Genomic DNA, 18,141 nt, shown 5'->3' on the forward strand with positions numbered 1-18,141 from the left:
CAAACCACAGCAATAAGGATGAAAATACCTTATCATCATTTGCAGTGAACTTTCACACGCGTCATCTCGTTACCTTCTCATAACAAACCAATGAAGTAGGCAGTGTTCATGTGTTTATCACAAATAGAGAAATTGACCCTGTGCCAGGCTTCCAGAATCATTCTGTAGGAAGGGGCAGGGCCAGGAGGCAAATGAGGATCTACTAATTCTGGTGCTTTTTCCTCCCTCCCAGCCCTCTTCTCAGCTTTTTGCATTTTATAAAGGGGAGTCTTTTAACTCTAGGGAATCCATTTGTAGAAAATATTGCCTATTTGATCAAACTTTCAATTTACTTGGTCATAGCAAATGGATCCTAATGTGTCTCATTGACTTCCTATCCTGAACACCTTTGAGTTTTTTGTTTACCCCAGGCTACGTGGAAGGAGTTGTCACCAAGGTGAGGGTAAAAAACACTGGGCTGAGAGTTAGGAGAGCTGACTTTTACATGAGTTTGATAGATACTTTTAGGTTAGTTATTCAACCAAACTAGACCACATCTGTAAAATGAGGGATTAGGACTTTGATATGTTCTAAGCCCCTTTCCGGTTTGGGGATTGTATGTCTGTCTCACATCTTTCAGGAAGTCCCAGAGCTCCTCACTGTTCATAGAGCTCAGTCCTCTGTTACTGGAGCCTCTGTATGTCTGGATGCATTTGGGGTGCCTGGACTCCAGTCCCAGTGGCCCAGCATACCAACTATGTGACCAAGGACTAGGCAGATGGTATCTCTGGACTACTACCTTGTTTCTACAACGAAAATGACAATCCTTACTCTGCTGGATTCACAGGGTTGTGTGAGGATCTAATGAGATAATAGTTATGAAAACATTTTATAAACTCTAAAAAGATAAAATAGTCCATGAACTTCAGTTAGTGATTGCTATCTAACTGATCATCTCTCTGTAGCACCTATTCTTCCCATGACCCACTACCGTTTTGTTCACTGGTCATATCTTGGAAGCTAGAGGCAAGGGCTGAAAAGCATATAATCTCAGCTGGGCCAGTTATCTTGGGTGTTAGATCTGTAGGAGTCTAGGTATTCTCCAATCCCAGCTCATTCCTGAAGCAAAAGAAAGCTCTATGGGAAGATATGTGTACATTGAAGCCCCTAGAAGGGAGGAAAAATTATTACTGTCGCCTAAAATCTGGAAATAAAAAGAAACATTTTAAACTATGAGTGCCAGGGAGCCTGGGCTTCTACTGGTGGCAAGAGAAAATGCCCCCTGCGCTTTATAATTGGATATCTGTCACTGCCTTCTAGCCATCCAGGCAGGCAAATTCAAACCTATTTTCTGTCTCTCACTCAAGAGAGATTTGGAGCCAAGCTTATAACCCTTTCTGGCATGCCTTTTGGATCTTTTCTTGGATTCCTTAATTATTTATTTATTATTATGAAGCCATCACTTTGAATCTGGGCATGAGTACAAAATGGAGGAAAAAATTAAAAAAAAAAAAAAAAAAGGAAAGTGTAGAACCACAAAGGTCAGCCAACTAGTCTCCAAATACCCCTCCCTTCATTTCCTTACTATCCTCCCCTTTCTATTTTCTCCTCTTTTCTACACTGCATACTCTGCCTAACTCAGCATCATCACCCACCTACAGTCAGATCCCTTTAAAGGAGTGTGATTAGATGCACATAATGACCATATCCAAAATCCAGCTGAATTTTTCTTCTCCACCCTTCTCCCCATCTTTACTTTAGTGACTTGCTTTGTTGAATCCAACTGCGGTAGAACTTGGTGGAACGCCCTTTGTCAAAACTCAACCACTCCTAAAGCATTTATTCTGCACCTTCATATTTTGGATTATTGGGTTTTTTGTATTTATTTGTTTTGTATTGATTTTATATTCATCTAAGTCCTGTGTATGGATTAAATTTTTTTGTATTGGTCTTAGTACTGTGTATCAGGGACAGCGACAGGTTTGTTCTCTTGTCCTTCTAATAGAGGAGAGCATTTATCTGTAGTTTCTCCAAGCACTTCTCAGAAGGCATGTTTGAAATGAGAAGAAAAAATGCCATTGATGGCTGGGTGCAGTGGCTCACGTCTGTAATCCCAGCACTTTGGAAGGGCGAGGCAGATGGATCACTTGAGGTCAGGAGTTCGAGACCAGGCTGGTTAACATGGAGAAACCATGTCTCTACCAAAACTACAAAAATTAGCTAGGTATGGTGACAGGCACCTTCCAGCTACTCGGGAGGCTGAAGCAGGAGAATTGCTTGAACCTGGGGGGCAGAGGTTGCAGTGAGCCGAGAATGCATCATGGCACTCTAGCCTGGGTGACAGACTGAGACTCTGTCTCAAAAAAGAAAAAAAAATGCCATTGATACACAGATATCAATATAACTGTCAGATGCTCTCTTAGGAATTAGCAACTTAATTCACTTCCATGCATATTTATTGAGAACTCTAATTTTATTGAACCTCATTTTCATCTCCATTTCTCCAATACTATGCTAGTTCCTGGGAATAGGGAAAAGAAACATAGAAGATAATTCATCTTTTAAAGGGGTTTTACAGTTTGGTGAGGAGTCTTAATACACGTGGACATTTAATACACCTGAAACATACAGCCAAATTGTAAATTTAGATGCAGAGGATAACGTCTAAGAAATTAACATTAGAGCCCAGGCATGGTGGCTCACGCCTGTAATCCCAGCACTTTGGGAGGCCAAGGCGGGTGGATCACCTGAGATCAGGAGTTCCAGGCCAGCCTGGCCAACATGGTGAAATCCTATCTCTACTAAAAATACAAAAATTAGCTAGCTGTGGTGATGCATGCCTGTAATCCCAGCTACTTGGGAGACTGAGGCAGGAGAATCGCTTGAACCAGGGAGGCGGAGGTTGCAGTGAGCCGAGATTGCACCATTGCAATCCAACCTGGCAGCAGAGCGAGACTCCATCTCAAAAAAAAAAAAAGAAATTAACATTAGGGATAATAAATAGATCAATATACTAGGGTTAATGGAAGGGACTTCATGGAAAAGAAAGGACGTAAATAGGGCCTTAAAGGACACATTGAATTTGAAAAGAAGAACAGAGTAGGAAGGGCACAAGAAGGGAAGGATATGACAGGCACAAATTTGTAGAGGCAGGAAGGGATGTGGTATGATTTGGAAGCCATGGCATTGGGCTTCAAATGGGACATTGTAAATGATGAAAAGGACTAGCAAGACCTTATTAGCAAAGATTTGAGACTGTAGACAGAGAAAGGATGCTGAAGTTTCGAAACAGAAGCATAGTGTAACAACTATGTGTTTTGGGGAAGTCTAAATTGGCTTAATATACACAGGCTAGATCAAGGACAATAAATGTAGCCAAATCAGATTGGGTTATCAAACTTAAGCCATTCAATTCAGAGTCATTTTATTTTAAATTTTTATCATTTGTTTTTATAGCTTGCAGAGCACTTTCACTTGTATTATCTTGTACACAAGTCAAAATAACCCAGGAAGGCAGATAGGGCATGCCATGTTATCCCATTCTATGTATATTGAAATCATAGAATCTGTGATGTTAAATGTCTTACCCAAATATATGTAGTGTAGAAGTGATAGAATTGGGACTTAAATATAGGAAATACAGTTTATAGTTGAAGGCATGCTATGTCACCATGAATCAGAAGAAATTCTCCTTTCTTAGGTCATTAAGTTGATCTTGAGGAATTTACATAAGCACAATATTTTACTCCTGAAATCAGTTCACTCAAGCGGACCTAGCTTCACACATCTCAAAGTCAGATTCCCTGCTCATTGCCCATTTTTTAGGATTCAAGTAGAAATATCTTTAGATCCTTTACAAGACTTTAAATATATTGACCAAGTGTGAGTTATTCTCAATCCTCTTAAGGGAACCACATTCTTTACAACTTAGGATGTTATTATCTGTTTTTATGCTGAGCCTTATTGTTAAGTATCCTAGCAAAGGCAAACTCAAATTTTATGAATTTGACTATGACCAGTAATTTTTTTTTTTGTTTTGTGATGGAGTCTCACTCTGTCGCCCAGGCTGGAGTGCAGTGGCACGATCTCGGCTCACTGCAAGCTCTGCCTCCTGGGTTCACGCCATTCTTCTGCCTCAGCCTGCTGAGTAGCTGGGACTACAGGCGTCTGCCACCATGCCCGGCTAATTTTTTGTATTTTTAGTAGAGACGGGGTTTCACCATGTTGGCCAGGATGGTCTTGATCTCCTGACCTCGTGATCCACCTGCCTTGGCCTCCCAAAGTGCTGGGATTACAGGCATAAGCCACTGCGCCTGGCATATGACCAGTAATTTTTTTCTTTAGAGAGCTTTTCATAGAAACATAACATTCATTCAGAATAATGCACAAATCATAAGTGTACAGCTGAATGAATTTTCAAAAACTGAATACATCCAGATTAATAAACTAAACAGGAGTATCCTAGAAGTCCCCCTCATGCCTCCTACTAGATGACAGACAACGTTATTCTATTTTTTATTTTAGATTCAGGGGGAACATATGTATGTTTTATACATGCATGTTGCTGCAAAGGACATGATTTCATTCTTTATGGCTGTGTAGTATTCCAGGGTATATATGTACCACATTTTCTTTATTCAATCTGCCGTTGATGGGTACCTGGGTTGATTCCATGTCTTTGCTATTGTGAATAGTGCTGCAATGAACATGCAAGAGCATGTGTTTTTGTGGTTCAAGGATTTCTTTTCCTTGGGATATATACCCACTAATGGGATTGCTGGGTAAAATGGTAATTCTATTTTTAGTTCTTTGAGAAATCTCCAAACTGTTTTGACAGGGGCTGAACTAATTTGCATTCCCACCAACAGTGTATAAGCATTCCCGTTTCTCTGCAACCTTGCCAGCATCTATTTTTTGACTTTTTAATAATAGCCATTCTGACTGGTGTGAGATGTTATCTCATTGTGGTTTTGATTTGCATCTCTAATGATTAGTGGTATTGAGCATTTTTTCGTCTGTTTGTTGGCTGCTTATATGACTTCTTTTGAGAAGTGTCTGTTTATGCCCTTTGCTCAGTTTGTAATAGGGTTTTTTTTTTCTTGTTGATTTGTTTAAGTTCCCTATAGATTCTGGATATTAGGCCTTCGTCAGATGCATAATTTGCAAATGTTTTCTCCCATTCTGTAGGTTGTCTATTTATTAATAGTTTCTTTTGCTGTGCAGAAGCTCCTTAGTTTCATTACGTCCCAGTCTGACAACTTATTAAAATGCTTCTTCTTATCTTACTTTTTTGAACTTTCTTTAGTAGAAATATATACTTTCTACTATATTATGGTAAAAATATATATTTTTTACTCTATGATAGTAAAAATGTACTTTCTACAATGTATAATTTAATTTTTAAAAATTTCATTGTTTTTACATTTTTGTATACCTATCTTAATACTTTGAGTCAAAATTCAGTCAAAATAGTCTTCAGCATTGTTATAAAGAACAGTCATTCGTAGGTAACCTGGAATGATTTTGATACAGCTAAATTTCAGTTTTCATTCCTTTCTCTAACAGTTATAATTTGATTTTCAGTGTTTCACTGTCTTAGATCTTTTTCAGCTTTTTTTCTCTTTCATTTTAGACATTGTCTACATACCTAATGATCATTATCACCTAGAGGGTCCTCATTCAGTTTGCTTTAATAGACTTGTCATCTGTATCAATCCAAGTCCAGGGAATTGGCTGTTTATTTTTTTCCCTAATTTAACATTTGCATGTCGATAGAAATTTGAGTGCTTGATTTTCTCTATTTAGTGTATATCAATTAATGTCCAATTATAATCTTTTCCTTTTACCAGTACAAAGCTTGTTATTACCAGTACAAAGCTTGTGGAGTTTGGTACTTTCTTTGCACTGTGATATGTCTTTACATAATAAATCCTAGAACAGTACCTATGTAAGTTTTTGCAGGTTTTATTCTTTCAGCTTTTGCTATTAAAACCTGCATATATGTAGATATTATTGTTCTGTTGGTTGTGACCTGGCTCTGTGTTCCTGCCCTTGAAGACTTGTGAATGAGTCATTTTTCTTCTATAACAATTGTGTTTGACTTAAAAAAGAAAATCTTGGCTCAGATGTCTGATTCTGACATGAATTACTTTTTGCTGCAGATTCTTTTTGCTACAGATTCTGTTTTCCCCAGATTCTTCCCTGACTCTGACCACCATGGCTCTTTTAGGTATGAGGTCAATTTACTACCTATGACCTTCGCTTCTTCCCTACCTATGATTAGCCACTATGCAGACTTGGCATAAAGAATCTCAGAAGTCCTCCCTAGTACATCAATTTCTAGGACTTTCCTTTTGCCTATGCAGACAGCTTTACTCTGATTCCTTTCTAACCTATGCTGTTAATTGCAAGATAAGCATACCCAAATTAAGGACTTGTAACACACAGTCAACTTCTCCCTGAGTTAAGGAAGGAATGCTCCTTGAAAACGAAGAGAGAAAGCTCTGCTCCCCACCCCTCCCACATTCTCTTTAGAAGGGAGCAAGAGAGGTTTCAGGGACTTATTTCTAAGTGCAACACTTAAGTTTGGCCTGTGAGGGGTAAATAGTCCATTATCAGGAAAAAAAAAGTCTTACCATTACATAGTCAAAAACATAGACAAATACAGAATTTGTTGCATCAAACTTTACTTTTTTCCAAGGAATCAGCCATCAGTCCATACACATCATATGGGCATCAGGGGCCTCCTTCTCCTTCCTTTTCCCCCTTTTTTTCCAAAGTCTTGTTCACATTTTTGCATCTTTCCAGAGCTCTGCTTCTTAGTCAATAAGTTTGTGATCTTCCTTCTAGATGCATCTGAATGGCAGCAGCAGGCCCTGAGCTCATTAGCCTTTGCATGTTATCTGCATCCTTTCAGGTGCTTGAACTTTCTCTCTGTCTCTTTCTCTATCTTAGGAATTCTTACCACCTCTTGTGGTCTGAGTTATTATACTTTATTATACTAACAGATTCTCTGTCTTTTTTGGGTCTCACCAATAGCTTCCTCCTGAGAAGGCGACTATGTGAGGAAGAAAAGTGGCAGGTGAAAAAGGGTAAAGAAGCTCCATATTGTCACATAAGTATTCATAGTACCTCTTTGAAAAGACTCCAGAGTTTCTTGTGCAGATAGTAGAGAGGGCAAGAAGAAGACTTAACACTTCTGGTTGCTTTTATTCTTGTAGGAAAAGCGGAGTGAGTGCCTAAAGTAGAGAGAAAAAGCAGCTGCTTGCTGTCACCACTGGGGCTTGGTCAGGGCTGCCTCCTGCAGGTCCTTCATGGACTTGGTGAATGTGTATCCTTTTGACACTTAGGTTTGTGAAGGTAGAAACAAGACAAGCTTTTCTCTCTATGACTTCTTGGGAATGGAGGAAAGAGGACAATTTTGGGCAAGACATTTGATACTTTATATAGAAAGTCGTTATAACACTTTTTCCTTTTTTTTTTTCTACTGGAAGTTCCTACCCTAGGATAAGACTCTTTCCACCAATTTCTTTCTTTCTTTCTTTCTTTCTTTCTTTCTTTCTTTCTTTCTTTCTTTCTTTCTTTCTTTCTTTCTTTTTCTCTTTCTTTCCTTTTTTCTTTCTTTCTCCTTCTTTCTTTCTCTCTCTTTCCTTTGTTTTTTTTTTTTTGACAGAGTCTCACTCTTTCACCTAGGATGGAGTGTGCAATGGCATGGTCTTGGCTCACTGCAATCTCAGCTTTCCAGGTTCAAGAGATTCTCCTGCCTCAGCCTCCCAAGTAGCTGGGATTACAGGCACGTGCCACCATGCCCGGCTAATTTTCATATTTTTTAGTAGAGACGAGGTTTCACCATGTTGGCCAGGCTGGTCTTGAACTCCTGACCTCAAATGATCTGCCCGCCTCAGCCTCCCAAAGTACTGGGATTACAGGCATGAGACACCTTGCCTGGCCTCCACCAATTTCTTATCCACACCACAGACCCTTCCCCTTGGAGAAGCATGTGACCTGTAATGCATCTTTTTTTCTTTTCTTTTCTTTTCTTTTTTTTTTGAGACAGGGTTTCCCTCTGTTGCCCAGGCTGGAGTGCAGTGGTGTGATCATAGCTCACTGCAGCCTCCACCTCCCTGGCTGAAGTAATTCTCCCACCTCAGCCTCCCGGGTAGCTGGGTCTACAGGCATACGCCACCATGCCTGTCTCATTTTTTGTATTTTTTGTAGAGACAGGGTTTCGCCATGTTGCCCAGGCTGGTCCTGAACACATGGGCTCAAGCAATCTGCCTGACTTGGCCTTCCAAAGTGCTGCGATGACAGGCGTGAGCCACTGTGCTTGGCCAGACCTCTAATATATCTTAGTGCAATTATTCAGTGCAGTAACTTCGGGATCCTTTTCTTTACAGCCAGCGAAAGCAGTTTCCCAGGTTTGTGCACAAGCATTATTTTTGAGAGTGGTTCATCAATTTATTAAAATAATTTATGTTTTAACTATGTTGTGATAGGAATGGCCTGATTTGGCTGTATTAGGAACTGTGACCAATAGTTGATATTTGCAAGATGACATCAGTTACATGTGCTTTTTTTCAAGATACTTCTGTCAAATGATTAGTTCACAGGTTCTACATCTGTTTTGAGCTTAGGAGGTAGTAAGTTTCGTAATGTTTATTGTTTTCTAATGCATGTTTTTTGTCAAAGTTTTACAAAATTTTTGGTTAAATTTATTATGTGACATTGGAGATTGAGTTAGTACTTCTGCTTTTTGGTCTGATTTTCAGGTAGTTACTCTAAAGATATGGCTAGTTCTACATCTAAAACAAAAAAAGAAAATTTTACATTTTCTTACAGGAGTATTAGAAGCAACACCCTTTTGTATCAGGGGTTGATCATTAGGGGATGGAGATGGGCCTCTATTGGAAGGAGTTTATGCTGTACATTTACTCAAGAAGGTAGTAGACAGATGAATGAAAGGTCCTAATCACCAATATTTGCTGAATAGGTTCTAGGGAATTATTACCTTAACTTCCAGCACATATACACACACAGGCTTCAAGCTGTAGCTGAATTTTGGTAGCATCTCTTCTCATCCTCTCTCCTTTTCAAGTTAGTCTGACAGTTTCTTCTTTCTAATATTTTATATAAAAACATTTCTGGTGAGGGACAGGCTAGAAGCCTAGGGTATTTCCACAAATCAAGATTTTTTCCCCCATAGCTCTAGCTTCTTCCACATCCTGTTAGATTCCCGGTTATAACATACCAAAGCTAAATTAATTAATTAGTGTTTAGAGCAGTTTTAGGTTCACAGCAAAATTGAGATGTATAGAGATTTCCCATATACCCCCTTGCCCTAACACATGCATAGCTTCCCCCATTATCAACATTCCCCACTGAAGTGGTATATTTGTTACAACTGATGAAACTACATTGACAGTTAAGGAAAAATAAAAAGCAGTAACTTATTTTAAAGATCATCTTGATTTCCAGTACACTCTTCATTTGATATCACTTAGGCTAATACCTTAATCAATTCTCAATCTCCGTGTATACCCTCTTGGAATGGTGTGCCCACCAACCCTAGCACAGGAGGAGCAATAGGGCTGTAGCGACTCACTCATGTATTAACTTACTATATCTGTACAGGCAAATCAATCCAATTGCATGGTGATATTTACCTGCCTAAAAGGGACATTTTAAAACAAAAGAAAATAAACATGGGGTGAGATTGATTTTAATTTGATTACTTCCAGATTAATTTGTTAATTCTTAGTAACAAATGATAGGAACAATCAGTGTTCTTGGTGCTATGATTATGAACACAAAGAAGACATACTCCTACCATCAAGTTGTATATTGTCAAGAGGGGAAAATCAGCTCATGAAGAGATGGTGATAATTATATGCACCAAAATCAGTGCTAGATACTCAGGGGCTTATGAGAGCCTGGAAGAGGGTTATCTAACGCTGTCTGAGGTTGATGGTGAAGGAGATGGATAGAAAAGAATTCCCTTAGCTGCTGCCTCCAAAGTTTAAAATAAAAGGATAAGTTTGAGCGAAAGAGATGAATAAGCTGGGGTGGAAGAAGAAGAGAGAATGGTATTGTTGGCAGAGCATACAGCATTAGCAAAGCTTTGGAGTCCAGAAAGAGCACTATGCATATTGGAGGGAACATGGAGCAGTTTAACGTTGCTCAGGGGTAAAGCATAGAAAGGGAGAGGTGAGAGATGAGGGCAGATAATTAGGCAGGGGCATTATCTGCCATGTTAAGGAGTTTGGACATTTTCCTATAGCTGATGTTGTGCTAGTAAAGTTTAAAATGGCACATGACAGACTTCCCCCTTTAATCGGACCATAACTTCAATTTCTTTCTGCTTTGAGGAACTGCAGGTTATTTGTCAACCCAATGGTGTCAGAGGTGTTTTTCCGCTGATGAGTGGACAAGCCAAATTCTTCAGAGAGATGCTGCTGCCTGACCCATATGGCCCACTGACAGTTTGACAGTTGACAGCTTTTAGTCAGACTAGACTCACTTAAGCTGCTTACCCATCCTGAGGCGAGCACGCGGCCAGCGCCCGGACTCCACATCATTCTGGCTGTCTTAATTGGGCACTAATTAAATGTTTTGGCTGGAAACCTCTCCTTGCCATGGCTGAATGGACTCATTTGAGGCCAGTATTTCAGGGAAACATCTTGTTAGGCTGATCAGAATCCCTGTTTAAAAGGAAAATGCATATATTCAGTTTGTTCCTTCCTATTTTGGCCTAAGGATTTATCTCTTTTTTGCCTTTGAGAAAAAAACCCTAAAAATTTAAAAGGATGTATGTGTATGTATATATGTATAGATTCACATGTATAAATAACATATATTCATATGTATATATCCTCATTCACATACACACGCATGTGCACATACACACACACACACGCACGGCTCAAGATAGGAGCTGATGGAAGCATAGCTCTACAGCCAAGAGGTCACATCCAAATTTTGTTTAAGCTAAACATATGGTTTACTTTAAGCTAAACATATAGTTAATCTGCCTGTGGCTTATTTTCTTTATTTGTGACAAAGTCACAAGAAAAACATTAGAATGTTAGCATAATATTTTAGAGTGAAAGTTAGGGATGAGGATAATTCACCTCGAATCCTAGGGCATTTACAAAAGGATAGATAGATGGGCTGAGATCTGTTTTCTATCTTTACTTAGCTGTTGCATGCTGATAGGTATTTCTTTCTCAAATCATTCCAAAAGCAAAGTAGATAGCCAAGTGTTTGGGTTTCAAAGGGCTATCTTCAGTCTACATTGCAAAGAGTGCCTGCAGTATCAACAAGGCTAAGCAGTAGGTACAGCAAATGCATTGAAGAAGAATATATTGAATGCACCAACCATCTTGCAGACCTTCAGGTGTTGGTTTTATAGCCATTGAAGGCATTGGAGGAGGTTACATCATTAACATGAAATAACAATTGTTATTTCTTAGGAATTCCTCCACTTTCTGAAACTATACCTCTCTTATGAATTTTGCTTTTCTGGTAAAATAAGCCTAGTAATGTGATTTTTCCCCCAAAATAATGATGGTGTTAATTGTATTAAACAAGAACTAACATGAAAATTGAGATTTGTGGAGGCTAAAATTAATTCCTAAATTATAATTTTCTATGAAGAAATAGAATTAGATAACAGGGTTTCAAGGTGATTTCTTCTCTAAAAAGGAAAAATAAGATGTGCTCCAGTTCATGTATCTTCAATGCTTTCAATTATCTTAATGTGTATTAATATATATTATATGTGATAAGTATAGGTTTATAAGAGAAAACCTCATCAATTAGCTATTCTTGAGTACCTTTGCATTTGGTTACTAAGGAATAACCTGTTCATGATCAACAGTGGTAAAACAGAGCACAGTAAAACACTGCTCTATCTGAACTAAAGTAGATCTTCAAAACCTCTTTGATGTGCGTGCTTCTTTAGGTCTTAAGGACACATTAAAGTGTATGTTGAACTTTCTAATATTCACTTTATTTAACGAGAAATGTTTTCCTTCCTGTTTTGCCACTGTCTTTCCCTTCCATATCCACTCCCCCCTCCTTTTATTTTATTTTATTTTTTGTTCTGAGAAATGATTATGTGTGTTCTTTTCCTATTTAAAATTTAAAGAGTTACATTTGGGAGAGGAACAATGTAGGGAAAGGAAACCCCTGGAGTGTGTCTGATGTGATCGTTCTCCTCTGTGCCACCATTTTTCCTCCTGCTGTGGGAGCGCTAAATGATAATGCCTGATACCTTACCGAATAAAGCCTGACACGGTTTCCAGCTGTGAGCATGTGATCAGTTTTTATGTTTGATTTTTGCACACAAGTATACTACTGCAAGCATGTCCACAAACTACTTCACAAATGCTTTAAGGGGGGAATTGCTCTTGAGTGAATAAAACATTAAACAAACACTAAGTAATTGCATGAAAAAATAAAAAACCTTCATTTATTTTAGAAAGCCATGTTTCTGTTCAAACCCAGACTTTTAAAATAAATTTAATTTATATTCAATGGTCAGATATAACCACATAACCAATCCTCTATGAATTTACTTGCAAGCGAATTTTAATCTGAGATGAGTTGTCCAAACAGAAAAGAGACTGTTACTTCCTGTACTTTGCTGCAATGATTAAATATGATTGTAATTATACAATATGTTGATTCATTTGTGAGAAACATTGACTAATATATCCACTATTATGTCATCTTAAAATGGAGTCTCGTAGGCTGTAATTTTTAAATCCATATTTTTCTTGAAGCAGCATATTACACATATATGATCCTGGTTTTAATGATATATTTTGGTAATAGTCTTAGATGTTAGAGTATTCTGTGTTAATGCCTATCTTATAATATACAATATATATTTCTTATTGTTAATTTGTTGATATTTATAAAAAAGCTGGCTATTCCAATTAGTAATTCTGAATTTAAAAATAAGATATTATTAAAACAAAAACAAATTATCAGATACTGTTAATTCTGAAATTCTACTGCTGTCATTTACAAGGTGTATGGTGTGCCATGATGTTTGTTAACATCAAAATTAATCAGACACTTCTTCTTGGCTCACCTCACTGATCAGAGGGCAAAAAGGCGGGGATTGGGGGAGCTCCTAAAGGAGAACACTAGCAGACAAAAAGAAAAGTAATTTTATTTTTAGTGATGAGATGGTTTGATCATTGGTTGTGGCTTAGTGGTTTAGAGATGGAAGGATAGGTGCATAATTTATAAATAAATGATAAGTACCTATACTCATATTTTTTAAAGCATTCTACTTCCATGCAGAATTCCATTTTCTGAATCCCACCCACTGCTTGTCCACCTGCAAGCACCAGACCGAGAGGAGGCCACTCCTATTCTCAGGCTTGTTAATATTAGATACAATATAATATTACATACAAGGGACAGGGATGTTACATTTAGAGAGAGTTAAGATTTCAAGTTTCCCAACAAAAGTAGAAAAAACAAACATTCCATCCTCAACTTTAGCTTTTAAAGATGTTGTAGAAGTATATGAAGAAATGGAGAAAGGATGGTGATAGTAATAGAATGGTTCTGCTAGTGATAACATGCTTGTTTTTAACTTTATATGCACCCACTTTAAATCCCCAATTGAACATTTCTAGTGGCTACTTGTTTTCTTGTAGAAATCTGGTATTTCCTGATTATCCCGATTATTGACAGAGTTTTTAGATGTGTCCTTACCATGGATGACAGTATTAAATCACTGTAGATATGCCGTCATCGTCTTTAGGGCCAGTCATTACTATCCCAAAAAAGAGAGATAAATAAAGGAGAGGAATGGCAGTGAGTCATTAGACCCTCTGCAGAGAAACTACTTACCAACATTGCTTTCATGAACTTTCCTTGTCAATGGGCTAGCAAAAAGAACAATGCTAGCCATTCACATAGACATGGAATTTGTGAATTTCTGAAGATTGGGGATTATTTCCAGTCCTGTTTTGGATTTTCATGAGCCATTAACTATTCTCTCTCTCTCTGTAAAGTATACATGCAAAATATGCAATGTTAAACATATTTGTTAAATGTATATATGTTAAAGATATGTTAAATGTGTTCATATATGTATTCATGTATTCATATATTCATGTATTCATATATAAACATGTATTCATATATTCATGTATTCATATATAAACATGTATTCATATTTTCTCATGATGTGTTAAATAGACATTATTCAATATATATTAAATAATATATGTGTAAGATATATCTGTCTATCCATCCATCCATCCATCCAACCATGTATCTCCTTGAAGTGTGAGATTAATAAATGGCCATATTTCTTTCCGTTGTTATGTTAGGACTTTACAAAATATATGGTGTTTGAGAGTGATGGGGAATTGGTGTGGGAATTTGCCAGGATAAATACTTCCAGGATAGGTTGGAATATGGGAAAAATGGCAAGTGTGGGAAAGAGTAGAGAGTTACCAGATATTTCGTAGCAATTGAGACAATCTGTGTTATGAACAAAATTACTCATTTGTATACTTCAGTTATTCTTCTGTTGAGTATAGATAATAATATTTCTTATCTCACTTGCCCCAAGCTGCCGTTCCCAAACAGCTGCCATATACTAGGTCTCTTGCAGTTTATGACATCCAGAGGCAGAAAAAACGAATGCCTTTTTTTTTTTTTTTTTTGAGACGGAGTCTCACTCTGTCGCCCAGTGGTGAGATCTCCCCTCACTGCAAGCTCCGCCTCCCGGGTTGACGCCATTCTCATGCCTCAGCCTCCCGAGTAGCTGGGAGTACAGGCGCCCACCACCAAGCCTGGCTAATTTTTTGTATTTTTAGTAGAGACGGGGTTTCACCGTGTTAGCCAGGATGTTCTCGATTTCCTGACCTCGTGATCGGCCCGTCTTGGCCTTCCAAAGTGCTGGGATTACAGGCGTGAGCCACCGCGCCCGGCTGGAATGCGTCTGATTTTTGTACCATTTAAAGAGGTGAAAAGCTCCCCTAGAAATCTCCCTGTAGATGCTCCCTGGTATTTCTTTGGCCAGAATCGTGGCACCTGCCAGTGTTTGAACCAGACACTTACATGAGGGATGTGTTTTTCTGAGGCAGCAAAAGAGAAGACATTGCTCAGTTCAGAACAAGAAAGGGCAGTCTTCTAAAGCTTTTTGTCCCGCAGTTTCAAATAAGAAAAAACCTTCTGACCCATAAGAGTTAGGAATTTTGTACAGAGTCATTACAAATGTTGTCATCTAAATCCTGTTTGATGCAGAAAGGTGTCAGTGGCTTTAAAATTTTTTCAGTTTAAGTCATTCAGAAATTCTTTCGAAGTATATACATTGATAAGACAAAAACAGTCTACCACCTTATCTCCTAGATAAATCCAGATTCTGAATCTGTTTCTACCACCGTTTCCCAATTAAACAGCCAAAAAAGTCATTCCTTAGAATGGATTAATGACCTGCAAAATTCCATTTAAACATAGCCATTCTTGAGTTTTATTAGTGGAAAAATACAAACTGGTCTGTGGTCATGGATTATTACAGATTCACTCCAGACTGCTGAATTGAACTCTGATGAACCTGCGACACTCTCCATTAAACCTCAAAATGAGCTTTCTCTTAATTGGGGAGTAGGAAGGGAAAGTAAACTAGTGGCTGGTAAATGCCAGACTTGTGAATCATTTCTTTATTTTGGACAAGAGTGTTGAAACGTTTTTAGATGTGCATGGAATTAAAAGAGAACAGGGTGGGGAAAGGAATTTATTTATTTATCAAGCCCTACACTTTTTCTGGGCAAATGTATGCATGGTATTTTTTAGACCTCAATATAATGCAAGAGGAAAGTAGTATTGTACTCATTTTTAGAGGATAAAATTGATTCTAGGAAGGTTAAGTGACTTGTGCCAGGCTAAATAATTAGTAGTGGCCCTAGGATTGAAACAAAAGCATTCTATAGATATTTATTGAGTTAAGCTCTAGCTACTAATATCTATCTATCTATCTATCTATCTATCTATCTATCTATCTATCTATCTATATAGTGAAAGAACCAGACATGATCTTTGTCTTTCTGGGGCTTATGGTTTAGAGGGGAAAACTAATATTAAAAAAAAAAAACTTCATGTAAAAATATATGTGATTATAAAGTTTGATAAGTATTATGAATAAAAAGTTCAGGGGGACATAATTTTCCTTGGAATGTCAGAATATGTAAGTAGGGACCTGAAAAATGAGGAACTATTATCTAGGTGAAGAATGGAGATAATTCTGTTCCCTCCAAGGAAATGGCCTATGTCAAGGCTCCAAGTAGGACATAAAAACTGACTGGAATAACCAGAGCATAGTAATTGAGGATGGTGTGATGAGGCTAGAAAATAGGCAAGGACCAGATTTTTATAGAGCTTTGGAAGACATGATACGGATTTAGATTTTTATCTAAAATGCAGGTCGGCCTGGCACAGTGGCTCATGCCTGTAATCCCAGCACTCTGGGAGGCTGAGGTGAGCAGATCACCTGAGCTCAGGAGTTCAAGACCAGCCTGGCCAACATGATGAAACCCCATCTCTACTAAAAATACAAAACTTAGTCAGGCATGGTTGCAGGCACCTGTAATCCCCACTACTTGGGAGGCTGAGGCACGAGAATCTCTTGTACCCAGGAAGCAGAGGTTGCAGTGAGCCGAGATTGTGACACTGCACTCCAACCTCACAACAGAGTTAAGACTGTGTCTCAAAATAAAATAAAATAAAATGCAGAGGAATACCATTGAAGCAGGGCAATGTCATAATTAAGATTCACAAAATCATACCTGTTGCTATGTAAGAAATGGATTAGAGGGGTTTCTTTCATATCTAGATCATACAACAAACACTTTTAATCATAATTATATGTTTCTAGTGTTGTTAGTTAAATGAATGAAAGAATAAATGAATAATTGGATCTGCAGATAAAATGTAGAACAACGCTTTAAAAGACAAATGAATTTTTGTTAGTCAGCACCAGAGAGAGAATTACCTACTAACATGGCTCTGAGAAAGTATTATAATATGGTTCTAAAGATAAAATTTACCTACCTCACATTTTTTATTTCTTTTTTCCTACTCTTATATATTAATATTAGGTTGGTGCAAAAGTGCTTTAGAGATTGAGCTTTTCAGAACTCTCTGCTTAAATTAAATGTATTTCCTTTTTAGAAACTTTAGCTTTCTTTAAGTTAAAGTTTCCTAATGCTGAATACCTAACAACCTGATAAAATTATTTTAGAGTTGAAGGAATCAAGAGCTCAAAATATGCCTTCACCCCACAGGTTTTCAAATTCAGAATGATAGCTGCTCAGTGTGTATTTATGTGCTTGCCAGTATATACTAGATATATTTAAAGTTTTTTAGTTCTTTTCCCTCTAAGCAGAGGCATTAATGGGCTATTATTGTTATAATGGGTGTATTGGTGGTTTATGAAGAAATTACTCTTAGGGGTATATGCATATTCACTTGTATATAAAGACAAACATTGACCCTCAAGGTGTCCATTTACATTTTAGGCTTTTCAGCTTCCTGACTTACAAGGGAACTATCAATATATTTAAAAATAAACAAAGAAATAACAGAATTGGAAGTCTACATAAAAGATCACCTAACCCACTGCATGGTTTGGATGTGTCTCTCAAAATTTGTGTGTTAATTCCAAATGCAACAGTGTTGGGAGGTGGAAACTAATGGGAAGTGTTTAGATCAGGAGGGCTTTGCCCTCATGAATAGATTAATTCTACTATGAAAAGGGTTTGAGGGAGTGGGTTCACTCTCTTTTGCTCTTCTTCATGTGAACACCCAGTACCTTGATCTCGGACTTACCAGCCTCCAGAACAGTGATAAATAAATTTCCGTTTTTAAAAATAATTTACCCAGCCTGTGGTATTCTATGATAGCAATAAAAAACAAACTAAAACACCCACCATGTTTATATTTCAAGCAGAGAAGCTTTTGTAAGGAGTTGGGCTCCTTTTTTGTTGTCATCGAGGAAAGACAGTGTCTCTCCCCACTGGTCACTGAGGATCTGTAATAATCTCCTTGAGAGCAGGTCACTATCTGAAGTAGAATATCATTTGGCCTTGTACACCTTGAGACCCCTGTGGTGATCAGACATTTGAATATGCTATC

At 37.8% G+C, this 18,141-nt stretch overlaps 1 long non-coding RNA gene across 1 annotated transcript in view, besides 3 other annotated features; it reads left to right on the top strand.

Moving 5' to 3' along the window:
• LINC01122 (long intergenic non-protein coding RNA 1122) overlaps positions 1-18,141 on the top strand; it is a 543,014-nt gene that overhangs the window by 26,109 nt on the left and 498,764 nt on the right. The gene's annotated exons all lie outside the window — the stretch shown is intronic.
• Positions 7,582-8,082: an enhancer, noted in NCBI's record as "H3K27ac hESC enhancer chr2:58781578-58782078 (GRCh37/hg19 assembly coordinates)". NCBI's record gives its function as "activates a minimal SCP1, AML or CMV promoter by ChIP-STARR-seq in naive H9 embryonic stem cells {active_cell/tissue: H9 hESC(naive)}" and the evidence as "EXISTENCE:reporter gene assay evidence [ECO:0000049][PMID:30033119]".
• Positions 8,083-8,583: an enhancer, noted in NCBI's record as "H3K27ac hESC enhancer chr2:58782079-58782579 (GRCh37/hg19 assembly coordinates)". NCBI's record gives its function as "activates a minimal SCP1, AML or CMV promoter by ChIP-STARR-seq in naive H9 embryonic stem cells {active_cell/tissue: H9 hESC(naive)}" and the evidence as "EXISTENCE:reporter gene assay evidence [ECO:0000049][PMID:30033119]".
• Positions 11,801-12,474: an enhancer, noted in NCBI's record as "OCT4-NANOG hESC enhancer chr2:58785797-58786470 (GRCh37/hg19 assembly coordinates)". NCBI's record gives its function as "activates a minimal SCP1, AML or CMV promoter by ChIP-STARR-seq in naive H9 embryonic stem cells {active_cell/tissue: H9 hESC(naive)}" and the evidence as "EXISTENCE:reporter gene assay evidence [ECO:0000049][PMID:30033119]".

The sequence above is a fragment of the Homo sapiens genome, chromosome 2 (genome assembly GCF_000001405.40).
Source record: "Homo sapiens chromosome 2, GRCh38.p14 Primary Assembly".
Taxonomy (NCBI): domain Eukaryota; kingdom Metazoa; phylum Chordata; class Mammalia; order Primates; family Hominidae; genus Homo; species Homo sapiens.